General features: G+C 47.0%; 1 long non-coding RNA gene across 1 annotated transcript in view, besides 2 other annotated features; it reads right to left on the reverse strand.

Moving 5' to 3' along the window:
* Window positions 1262–1871: an enhancer, noted in NCBI's record as "H3K4me1 hESC enhancer chr2:43133493-43134102 (GRCh37/hg19 assembly coordinates)". NCBI's record gives its function as "activates a minimal SCP1, AML or CMV promoter by ChIP-STARR-seq in naive and primed H9 embryonic stem cells {active_cell/tissue: H9 hESC(naive and primed)}" and the evidence as "EXISTENCE:reporter gene assay evidence [ECO:0000049][PMID:30033119]".
* Window positions 1872–2479: an enhancer, noted in NCBI's record as "H3K4me1 hESC enhancer chr2:43134103-43134710 (GRCh37/hg19 assembly coordinates)". NCBI's record gives its function as "activates a minimal SCP1, AML or CMV promoter by ChIP-STARR-seq in naive H9 embryonic stem cells {active_cell/tissue: H9 hESC(naive)}" and the evidence as "EXISTENCE:reporter gene assay evidence [ECO:0000049][PMID:30033119]".
* LOC105374568 (uncharacterized) overlaps window positions 11749–12534 on the reverse strand; it is a 6331-nt gene continuing 5545 nt past the window's right edge. The window contains exon 3 of the long non-coding RNA XR_940014.3: window positions 11749–12534. This exon is cut by the window's right edge and continues 3598 nt beyond it. This is a non-coding gene — a long non-coding RNA (uncharacterized LOC105374568).

Consider the following 12534-nt stretch of genomic DNA (forward strand, 5'->3'; position numbering starts at 1 on the left):
TTATTTCATCCTGATAAGACCCTATGAGGTAGTCTATATTATATCCATTTATTGCTGAGGCAACTGAGGCTCAGGGAGGAGTAATTGACCCAGGGTCACACAGCTCCCAGATGGGGAAATAAGGTTGATACTCAATGGAATCTAACTACAAAGCCTGTGCTCATTCTGCCCCACCACGAGGACAGGACAAATGCCCTGCTCCATTCTGGATGGACTCCCAGTCCAGTGCTCTTTTCTTGACCCATATTACCCTTTTCTGTGCGGAGCCTTCAGGGGACACTAAGTTAAGAGACGATGGCTGTGCTTTTGCCTTCTCGGGGCCACCCCATTTCCAGTGCGCTCCCACTTGGCTATGGCTTGACTTCCTGGAATGAGAGTGAAAGATCAGTGCCCTGAGAACCCCCCACTGTGCAGCTCAGCCCCACGGCTTTCACATGACCTCTTCCCTGTTTGGAAGAGCTGGCTCCGGTTTGCACAGTCCTTTTTCCCAGCTACGAGTCCTTGCGTTCAGCAGGGCTGCTGGGTGGGTGCTCCTCCGTCACCAGCACCATGGCTTGCACCTGCGCAGGATGGACGCCTGACCCATCAGCCCTGCCTGGGTAGGCCAGGTGCCGCTCTGGATCTAGGAGGCCATCCCCTGGGGCCAAGGTGGTCGCTTCTCCCAAGCGGTCATGTGGTTCAACGCTCTGATTTCTGTGGCCCCGGACGGCGGGTGGAGGACGGGGTGTGAAAGGGTTAATGTAATTTTGGCTGTGATTCCATTTTGGCATCTGCAAGTCAACTTAATAGGCTCTCAGTTTTCCTGTTGCCTCACCGATGAAACAGAAACCAGACCACAAGGGGGTCTGGAGATGTTTAACCGGCGATGCCTCCTGGTGGGCAGCAGGGTCTCCTCCGAGATAGCACCAGAAATGACTGCTAGAAACTCGGCCGTGCTGGGCTTCTGGGTCACCAGGACAAGGGAAGGGGCAGGGAACTGGGGTGCCCTGGAAAGTCCAGCTCTAGGCAGAGGGGAAAGAAGGTGGGTGCAGGGTCCACAGATTCATGCTGGGATCCTGGCTCCCCGACCTTGAGATCTTTGATCCTTAGCCTGCCAGGGGTTTCTGCCTCTCAGGATTCAGTACCTACGAGAGCACTGAGCTTGGCACAGAGTATGTCCAGCTCAATAACTGCCAGCCCTGCTGAACTTCTGGCTTCTCTCTCTCCTGCTCTCCTTCTCCCTGGGCCTTTGCAATGCCTGTGCTCTCGTCCTGAAGCCCCATTGCTTCTGTTCATTTCCTGACCAGCTCCTACTCATTCTTCAGATCTCAGTTTGAATGTCACTTCCTCCAGGAAGACCTCTGCAACTGGACTAGGGATCCTACCTTGGGCCCCATGTAAACCTCTGGGTGTCCTGAACATTCCCTTTCAGCCTTGTCCCCACCGCATCCCTTAGTCCCTTGCCCTCACCCCCATTACATTTCCCTGGTCTTCCTGTGCCTGTGGGGCGGGGCTGGAATGTGGCTCAAAGCCCGAGCAGAGGTTCTGCAGAAGGGCTACCCGTTCACTACCTTGAATGTGGCCAGGAAATGATTGGGGGGTGGAGGGCAGGTCACCAGTGCCCTGACCCACCCAGGTGCCCTCTGGTTGCTGTGAGCAAGGGGATTTAGGCAATCCCAATGTCGGGACTCTCCTGCCAGGATCGCTTTTCTCTCCGAGGTGGTTTTCATTATTTTTCATTCCCAGACTATTTTGGAAGCTGGCTGCCATGGGAACTGAGTCTTTGGAAAGCCCTGGCCTCTTTTCTCCTCCTGCCCCCACCACTCCCTCCTTCCATCTCCATTCCCTCTTAATTGGTTTTTAGTTCCCTGGCTTTCAGGCCTGTCTGTTTATTTTGATTGCAACTCCACAGAACAAATCTTTAATGAACCAGCTTGCGGGGAGAGCCATTAGCAGCCGCCTGCCTCGAGGGAGTGGGGGAGGTGCCTGGCCAGGCTACAGTCTCGGCTGCCCCAGGGAGGAGGCGGTGGCCAGGCATGGGGTAGCAGCCCGTGTTTTGGTTTCAGTCTTCCTTCGGGTACAGTCTGGAGGTAAAGGAACAGAGTTTGCCTTCCCTAAGCTGTCTGGAACCTCAGCCAAGATGACCTCAAAGTCTTTTAAACAACCCAGGGGCCTTCAAAGTGTTCCCCGGTCCTCCCATTGGCCCCAAGAGGGATGTCCTCTGAGTAACCTCACTACAGAGGAGGGGAGTGAGGCTCAGAGAAATTGAGAAGCTCAAGTCACCCAGCCAGCAACCCGTGGCTCAATAAACCCTGACCAGGGGCTTCCCCATCATGCCTAGGATAAAGGTACCCCCAGTTTCCCAGGAGTGTCACTTGTCCTTAGGCCAAATTGGCAGCTGATAGTCCAGGCTAGGCTCTACCAGGCCCTAGTTTTCTGGAGCAAATACCTCCTTGTCTTGTGCCTTGGTTTCCCCATCTCTAAAATAAAGACATATGGGCCTCACACTATTTATAGGACTTCTTCTTAGACTGGATGAGATTGTATGTGTCCAAGATCCTGGAAAGCAGAAAACATATGTGCGTGTGCGTGTTGTTATTATTAAGAGCAGAGTACAGACAATCCATGCAGTTCCCTTACCTATAGCAGGCCTATTGATTGGCCCCATCTTCAGGGCAACCTCAGTAGATGTGGTTAGTTTTCCTTTTCATATTGACCCTATTCTGCCAGAGCCACTAATCTTAGAAGCATAGGGTAGTAGAGCAGGGAGGTGTCTCAGAGATCAAGCCCAGCAGTTTTGGAACTTCTGTGACTGGGACCTTGAGGAATCCAGGGGTGGGCTCCAGTCTCCTCCCCATCTTCAGTCCAAAGGGCTCTGCTTTTCTCTGCTCTCTGTCATGGGGGCGTGTGGTATTTCTTTAGAAAGGAAGCCTCCTTTGCTGTCCTGGTCCTGGTTGGCTCTCCAACATATGTTCACACCAGGCAGTGATCTCACTTTCCTGGTCAGTGATTGGTTTAGGAATAGGCACTTCTGGCCAGTATAGGTAAGGAGAAGTCTGCTGGGGGCTCATGGGAAAGGTTTCTTGCTCTTAAAAATGGCACACAGGCCAGGCTTGGTGGCTTACACTTGTAATCCCAGCACTTTGGGAGGCCAAGGTGGGAGGATGGCTTGAGCCCAGGAGTTCAAGACCAGCCTAGGCAACATGGTGAGACCTTGTCTCTACAGAAATCTTAAAAATTAGCCAGGTGTGGTGGTTCAGCCCTGAGGAGCTGTGGTCCCACCTACTCAGGCAGCTGAGGTGAGAGAATCACTTGAGCCCAGGAGGTTGAGGCTGCAGTGAGCTGTGTTCATACCACTCTGGCTTGGGCAATGGTGTGAGACCCTGTTTCTGAAAAAAGGAACACAAGAAAGATGGATTCTCTTCTTCCTTGACTGCTATTGTGCCTGGCACTGTGGAAGCCAGCCTGTGCCCATGAAGGAAGCTAGAATCCATGGAGAACTGCAGAGTGCCTGATGACCTTGGGAAGCAGCTACCAAACCATTTCCGAAGTGTCTCTGGACTTCTTGTTACCCCCAATGACACATTTCTTTGTTGTTTAAACTATTATGCTATTTTTGGTTTTTGTTTCTCTCTGTGTGTCCTTTTATGGTTTTGGCTGTTTATTTTTGTCTGCCCGCTTGATTTTGCTATTTTTAGCCGAATGCAAACTAATTTATATAGTTTGAAAATTGCAGACCTAGCTAAATCTCCTCTTTTCAAAGACGGGGTGACTGAAACCTAGGGGGATGGAGAATGACTGGATTGAGGTCATGCCCTGATTCACGGCAGAGATGGGTTGGGATCCCAGGATTCCTGACTGCTGGCCCAGCACCCTTCTCTTAGATTCACAGCCTGGGATCTTATATGCTAGGTTATCTCAGCTAGCATTGTCCCCTGGTCCCAGGAGGATCCAGACAAGCCAGGGAGGCCCTGCAAGGCTGAGGGAGTTGGGACCAAGGTGGGAACAACAAACCGAGGGCCTCTTCCACTGTTCTTGTGGGCAACTTCTGAAAAGCACATAGCAGGTGCATAACCTGTTCCTGCACCAGCTGTGGGCTCATGGAAAGAAGAAGAAAACTGAGGGGTTCAAGGTTTCCATGTAAATCAGTTAGGAGTTACATTTGGCTACTTAAGAGAAACCTTAAACAAGTAAGGGGTTATTTTTGTCCCATAGTTGGAAGCCTGGGTATAGGCAGTCCAATTGGGTGCAGATGCTCATTAAGAATCAAGACTCAGCCAGGCGCAGTGGCTCATGCCTGTAATCCCAGTACTTTGGGAGGCCGAGGCAGGTGGATCACCTGAGGTCGGGAGTTCGAGACCAGCCTGACCAACATGGTGAAACCCTGTCTCTACTAAAAGTACAAAATTAGCTGGGTGTGGTGGCGTGTGCCTGCAATCCCAGCTACTCGGGAGGCTGAGGCATGAGGGCCGCTGGAACCTAGGAGGCGGAGGTTGCTGTGGGCCGAGATTGCAGCATTGTACTCCAGCCTGGGCAACAAGAGTGAAACTCCATCTCAATTAAAAAAAAAAAAAATCAAGACTCTTGCTATCTCCCTGTTCTGCCATTCTTGACTTATAGCTTTTGTTCTCATGGTTACAAATGGCTGCATCACTTTCAGGCATCATATCTGAGTTCCAGGCTGGAGGAAGAAGGTGAGGAAAGAAGTCTGGGCCGGCCCGTTCTGTCTTTTTATACAGAAAACAAGACCTTTCCAGAAGCCCCACTGTAAAATTCTTTATACACCTCATTGGCCAGAAATGTGTTACATGGCATCCTAGCTAGATTTGGGGGCTGTGAATATTTTTTTAAATTGCATAATTCAACTTGAAAGGTGAATATTTTTAACAGAGAAGCTTGCTGCCCCAAACAAATTCAGGATTTTGTGAGAAAGAAGAGAGGGTTAAATGCGTATTGGGGGACAGTCAGTGTTCTTCCACACAGCACTTCTACAGACACTCAGCAGGGCAACCGAGCCAGGAGGAAAAGTAGAGGGTAATATCCCCTCTCTGAAAGCTCCGAAGCTGCTCAGGCTTCTAGCTGCTGCCTCCAGCGTCTTCTTCTCTAAATCATCTCTTTCACAGATGTCAGACTAATCTTCCCACAGCACCCACTCTGTCATATTGCTTCTTTACCTGAAATCTCCCTTTGCTCGTAGGATGTGGTCCTGCTTCCTTGGCCTGGTATTTAAGGTTCTTCCGGATCAGGCTGCAAACCACCTCTCTGGCCTGATTCACCTCGTAGCCCCATCCTCAGCTTGTGTTCTGCCCCACTTAGGCAGTGCCTTCACTTGGTTTCAGGGGCCATCTCCTGTCCTTCCTGTCTGACAGAATCCTACCACGTTTAGGGTCACCTCCTCCCCAAAGATGACTCTACTGCCCTAGACCTCCCTGTGGTTTCTGGAACATACCTTATGCTACTCCGATCAACTATTTGTCATATAGCAACCACTTCAGGATTTAAGTTTTTTGAAGGGTGAAAACCCACCCCCTCTGTTTCTATACTCACATCTTACATGTAGAGGCTCAATAAATACCTTTTCACTCAAAATAATTCTTCTCTGGCAACCTCAAGCCAAGAGCTCTGGAAGTGTCCTTGGAATTTGATGGGTTTCAAAATACATACTTGAGAATATGCTTGCAGTGATTTGAAAAGCTGGCAATGTTCAAGTTTGCTTTAACTGCTGTGACTGTTATTAACAGATAGGCAAGGATCCTATTTGCCTTGTCTAACACTGTGTTCCCAACACATAGCATGGTAGCTGGCACTCATAGGCACTGAACAAATACTTGTTGAAACTGACATAAGAAGGTACTTCTGAACCACTAATAGTTGGATCCAGTATGCCTGATTCCTTATCTTGCCCCAGGACTTGGCTTGCAGCTTGGAAAGAGCTCTTCTCTATCCTGGTGGGAGGAATTGAGAAGCCAAACCCCTAAGACCCCTAAGAGAAGCCACCCAAGGCCTCTCCCCAACTGTACTTGTCCAGAGGTCGGGGTCCAGGCCTAGCAAAAAAATGTCACCAAGACCTCAAGTGCCCTCCCATGCTTTTGCGCTCCCATCTCCATTGTTTTGAAGGGTCACATGCACATGCTGTAGCGACAGGGGAGGCTGGGAAGTCACACAGCTGGTGTGCTCAGCCCTGGTGGGAAGTGAAGAGCAGGGAAGGAAGGGTATTTGGGTAGGCAACAAACAGCATATGCCATCATTTTGTTTGAGGACAGGGAATAGGAGCTTGGAGAGACTGAGTGGTCTGCTCAATGTCCTACAGTAGGTCAGTGGCAGAGCTGAGCTCTGTCTGACTCTAAAACCCTGCTACTTCCTTTCTATTACCTTCATGGTGCAGGACAAAGGGGTGCACTGCAGAGCATATACGGGTCTACATTTAACATTCCAGCCTAACATAACTACCCTAAGGTGTTAATTAATCCATGCTTGAAGGACATAGTAACTAATCAATAGACAAACACAATCATTTCCCTTCAGAAGCTTCCTATGGTAAAAATCCACAACCCCTCTCCTCCACCACCTCTGACCTTATTATTAACCTAGAATAATAATAACCCTTGACAAACCCCAAAAACAAGAGGCTAAAATTCAACCCAGCCAGAGCCCAAATAATCAGTGCAGGACAAAGGGGTGCACTGCAGAGCATATACGGGGCTGGATAGGGCAGTTCAGACGCTAGGAACCTCCATCGTAGGGACCGCTGAGCTTGGCGTTTCAGACACAGGCCCTCTGGATTTGTAACTCCTTTGTCTTGAAAATGGACTCTATTGGGTAGGGATGAAATAGGATGGAAAGGAGAGACTATCTGCCTTTATCTTTGTAAAACTTGTATTAATAAAGTATAATATGCATTTAGAAATAGTACACAAATTGTAAGAGTACAGCTCAATTAACTTTCATAATAGGAACACACTTGTGTTCAGCACCTAGCTTGAAAAACAGAGCATTACCAGTACCCTAGAAGCCCCTTTCTTGACTCCTTCTAGTCCTTCTATCCCCCTAGCTGGGGGTAACCCTTGTCCTGATTAAAACAATTTTGGCTGTTTTGGTACTTTATATAAACGGAACCATACAGCATATATTCTTGTGTGTGAATTCTTTGTTCAGAATTATGGGCTGGGCGTGGTGGCTTACGCCTATAATCCCAGCACTTTGAGAGGCCAAGGTATGCAGATCACTTGAGGTCAGGAGTTCGAGACCAGCCTGGCCAACATGGTGAAATCCTGTCTCTATTAAAAATATGAAAATTAGCTGGGCATGGTGGCACTTGCCTGTAGTCCCAGTTACTCAGGAGGCTGAGGCAGGAGAATCGCTTGAATCTGGGATGCAGAGGTTGCAGTGAGCCGAGATCCCACCACTGCACTCCAGCCTGGGTGACAGTGTGAGACCCAGTCTCAAAAACAAACAAACACACAAAAAACAAAATTATGTTTGTGATATTCATCCATGTTGTTGTGTGAGTTGTGGTTCATTCATTCTCATCAATAGTATTCCATTTTGTGAATATACAGTAATTTATTTATCCATTTTACTGTTGATGGGCATTTTGGAAAATTTTCAGTTTTTAGCTATTATAAATAGTGCTACCATAAGCGTTATAAACATGGACATCATTTTGTTGGATATATATTTGGGAGTGAAATACTGGGTAACAGGGAAGGTGTATATTTAGTTTTAGTAGAAACTGGCAAGCAGTTTCCAAAGTGGTTCTATTAGTTTACACTCCCACCAATATGTAAGAGTCCCAGTTGTTCCAAATTCTTGCCAACACTTGATATTATCAGTGTTTTTAATTTTGTCTATTCTATCCAGTGGGTATGTAATGGTATTTCATTATGGTTTGGTTTTCATTTGTGTTACTAACGAAACTGAGCACCATTTACTGATTATTTAATGATCATTGGTCATTTACATGGCTTTCTCTCTTAATATTGACCCATGCAGAAGGAGAGAAATGAGAAGAGGCCTTCTGAAAATGAAAATGTGTGACCACTAGGTACGTTTGGAGGGCACACCTCTGCTACTTGAAAACCACACAGAAGCAGACAATGCCTGGGAATGAGGGTGGCAGTGTTATGGGTCCCACTGCAGGAGAGCCAATGAGATACTGATGAGAGGGAAGACCTGTCTTTGGCTCTGGCACTTATTAGCTGCCACATTTTGGGAAAATGCCTCAATTTCCACCTCTGTCAAATGGAAAAAAAAAATAATGCCAACTTACAGGGTCATTGTGGGATTTAAATATGGGGTGGGAACACTGTCTGGGACAGAGGTACACAGAGATAAATCATCTACAGTGCATGGCCCAATAAATGACAGGTATTATTACTGTAGAAGGATTGGGGAGTGAGAACCAGAACAAGTGCCTTATCAGTTTTGCATTACAGCAGCATGTAGTGACTCACATAAAACTTCCTTTTTTTGCTTAGAAACTTGCCCCTCATACATTGACCCTTGCCTTGAGAAATTAAGCAGTCTAAGTTCTTTTCCTGCTTCTGATATCCTGTCCTAAAAACTTCTGAACCCAACACATAGAAATAAAATGAAATGCACTCATTTCTCCTAAGAAGATACTATTGAAGAATCGTCGGTTTAGTGTTCTCCCTTGCTATAGTAGATAAGTAAAAGTCAGTTTCACTTTTATCCTAACAACTTTCTTTGAGCAAGGGCTTTCCACAATTTACATGTTATTCATCTAACCTCACTTATATCTTCTGTTTTATCATGAACTTCATTTGTCTACAGGGGGAAATTATCACAGAATTGTCAACAGATGAGTATCAATAAGTCCATGGCCCAAACCAGCCCCAAGGATGACAAGTTTCAGGTCTTGCTAGGCTGGTGGCCTTCAGAAGATGAGCTTTACCTTGGGTCACCATCTGAAAATGTTACAAACTCTATTTTCCCTTCATCCTGACTTTGTTTTCCTGAGAGTTAATTTGGGAGACAGAATCTCCAAAAACTCATTTTGCTGAGAACAGCAGGTGAAGGTAGCCAACCTCTCTTGTTGGGAGCCCAAGACAGGAGGTACAGAAGAAACACACTTGGCTGTTACCAACTTGCATGGGGTCATCTCAGTCCAAGTCCACCCCTCCACAGTCTGGATGCCCACATTGAACGAGTCTCATTGTAACACAAATTCTCGAGCATATCCTACAAAACAGCACAACTCCCCTGAGAACAGTCGGGAATCACAGTGGCCACATTAAGGAACTTGTAATATGACCAAAATTGTCCATCTTAGAGATATCTTATACCCGAGGTTGATAAACCTTTTCTGTAAAGGGCGAGTTTAGTCAACACTTTAGGCGTTTGGCGGCATATGATCTCTGTAGCAAACTATTGAACTCTGCCGTTATGGTGTAAAAGCAGCAATAGACGGTACATAAACAGATGGGCATGGCTGCGTTCCAACAAAACTTTATTTACAGAAAAACACTACGGCTCAGAATTGGCCTGTGGCCTATAGTTTTCTGAGCCCTGTCTAGGGCACCTCACCTACAAGCAACAAAATTTTGGCAAAACAGTAAAGGTGGGGCATGGATGAGAATCAAGACCTCAAGGCCCATTTGGGAACCTCCAAATGAATTTTATACAATTATCCTCTGTGATGAAATATGAACATGTTCTCTAGTTTCTGTTTTTGTTTGCCTGTTTATTTTCAAATGTGTTGAAGCCTTTCTTTGTTGAAGAGCATAAAAAACAAAGCCATTAAACTTTGTATTTCCTACTAGGGAAGTCCCAATCTACTGATCCAGGGATAAGTATCTTTATTTTACTGAGATGGTCATTAAAGAGCTCTGCAAGATATTCATGTTTACTCAAAATTTCCTCTGTCTATACCGCCTCCCCATCTTCAGACAAAACAGAAAGGATAAATAGAATTCTCAAGTTAAAGTTAGCCAACTTTCTAAAGCACTTGAATTTCCTGGGTCCAAAGTCCTGCCCTCAATCTTGGTGACAGTAAAATCAACACCTTTGGGAATTCATCAGCTCTCTCCTTATGAGTTGTAACAGACTTATGCAAATATCTAGGAATATCATCTCTGATCCTACACTCTGCCCTGTTAGAAGCAGATACAGCCAAATACTGTAAGAGATTCATACAATAGGCCAATCTTGTTATCAACATTCCCCTAATCAATCAACAACCTAAAATCTCTAACTGGTTATGAACCCCAAAGAGTTATTTTTATTTTTATTTATTTATTTTTGAGATGGAGTCTCGCTGTCGCCCAGGCTGGGGCACAGTGGAGCAATCTCAGCTCATCGCAACCTCCACCTCCCGGGTTTACGCCATTCTCCTGCCTCAGCCTCCCAAGTAGCTGGGACTACAGGTGCCCGCCACCATGCCCAGCTAAGTTTTTGTATTTTTAGTAGAGATGGGGTTTCACTGTGTTAGCCAGGATGTTCTCGATCTCCTGACCTCGTGATCTGCCCGCCCTGGCGTCCCGAAGTGCTGGGATTACAGGTGTGAGCCACTGCGCCCGGCCTCCAAAGAGTTATTTTTAACTTATCAGTGTTTCTCCCATTTCAGAACATTAGGATTTTAACCTGCATTTTAAAAACCACACAGATTACTCAAAAGCATCATCTACTGTCTACAAAAACCTCATATTCCCAGTAGAAATGAAAACTCATAGCCCAAAGCAGATTGCTTGAGGTGCGGAGTAAGAACCTTCTGAGGCATAGACCTCTTTCCCTGGGTAGACAAACAGTTCCAAGAAAGAAAGGGTCACTGGGAGACAGAGACCCTTCTGCCCACCTCTTGTCTTTGGAATTAGGCTTGGTCCTCCCAGACTTACTGACCCTTAAGTGACCCTTCCAAATCCAGATAATCCTCTAAAAGGTCAATCCACAAACCCATCACCATCAGCTCCATCAGAGCCTGAAATTGTCCTGGGCTGTGATGAAGGGAAGCTGGGGCCCTTCAAGACTGTCCCCCCTTCCTCTCCAGTAGCGATGGTCTTTTAGGTCTGGTGGGAGGGTCTGGCAGAAATGCCCAGGCCTGGGAGTCAGGAGGGTCTCTATTCTTTCCTAAGATGGGATTGTTGAAGGAAGAAGGAATTCATTTAGAACGAGCCTGGACCAAAATTTGCTTTGTTCTTTTGAGATCTATTCTACTTTGCAAAGGTACTCCAAAGGGAATGCTAAAAATGGTGCAAGGGTAATGCAAAGGTAATGGAAACATATGAGGGAGGATAAACCCTAGAAAATCCGAAGCTGGTTCCCAGACAGCAGCGTTGACTGGAGGGGAGATCAACAGAGACAAACTTAATCCCTGTCCTCAGAGAGACCTGCCCACTGGGCTTTAACGAAAGCCTCGGCTCTTTTTCTCTTTTCCTGGAGAATTTTGACAAAATAGCCCTGAGCCCCATGAGGCAGGGGAACAAAAGGTCCTCCCCCAGCTAGATTGGGGGCCTTTGTGAGTCTCATGAGCACTGCATCTGGAGGGGCTGAGTAGGGAGGGCAATTGGGAACAGACCAAGTTTCGGGAGGGAGACAGAGTGTTTCCAGAGCCTGAGCGAACCCTAGAGATCATCTAATTCGACTCCTTTGCTGCACAGTGATTGACACTGAGGACCAGAGAGAGAGAGAGCAAGACCTTCTCATGTCCCCTAGGACCCACCACATTTCAAATGCACCACCCCTGACGCCCAGGCTCACCCTCTTCCCAGATCTCAGCCTGAACGGGGGAGTTTAGGGTTCAGTGTTCATTCGTTCATTAATTGATGTGTTTATTGAAGAGCAGCTTTATGCCTAGCCTTGTGTAAGATCTGTGGAAGAGTCAGGGAAACTCACCATATGATCTTTGCCCTCCAGGAACTTAAATCCTAAACACACACACACATACACACACACACACACACGTATGCATACATGAAAACACACACAGAAACACACATGCACACTCACCCCCATGAACAATGAACTTGTGATAGTGAACAGTACATAGTCTCTTCCATAATGAACCCTATGGACAGAAAGTGGCATAGGAGATGAAAGCACGAGAAATTGGTGTTTGCTGGGGTAGGGGTCACTGTAATTCCCTAAGAACACTTCTTACCCTGTACCTTGATAACAGCCTATTTCATGTGTCTGTGTGCCCAGCTCCCCAGCTCTGGCTTGCACAATGCTAGTATCGTTGAGATTGAGTTGAATTCATTCGAATTGAAATGGGACTTTTTGGGCAGAACTGGGCTCCCCTGTGAGTATGGGACGGAGTCACTGGGGGCTAAAGGAGAGAAATGAGGGGCTCTCTCTGCCTCGTCTCCTGGAATTCAGACCCTGTCTGGAGCTTGAGGCCTTCCTCTGGGATGTCCAGGCTCTAGTGAGCTTCTGGGGAACCCAAGGGCCATGAATCGCAACAGCAGCAATCTCCAGACTGCCCTGTGAGGCGGGGTGTGCAGTGATGAGCTTCTCCAGTGTGGAGCAGTGAGTGTGACAGGAAGGCACTTCCTAATCATCCGCAGAATTGTGGCTGTTCTCCAAGACTTACACGTCACG

This window comes from Homo sapiens, chromosome 2 (genome assembly GCF_000001405.40).
Source record: "Homo sapiens chromosome 2, GRCh38.p14 Primary Assembly".
NCBI classification, from domain to species: Eukaryota; Metazoa; Chordata; class Mammalia; order Primates; family Hominidae; genus Homo; species Homo sapiens.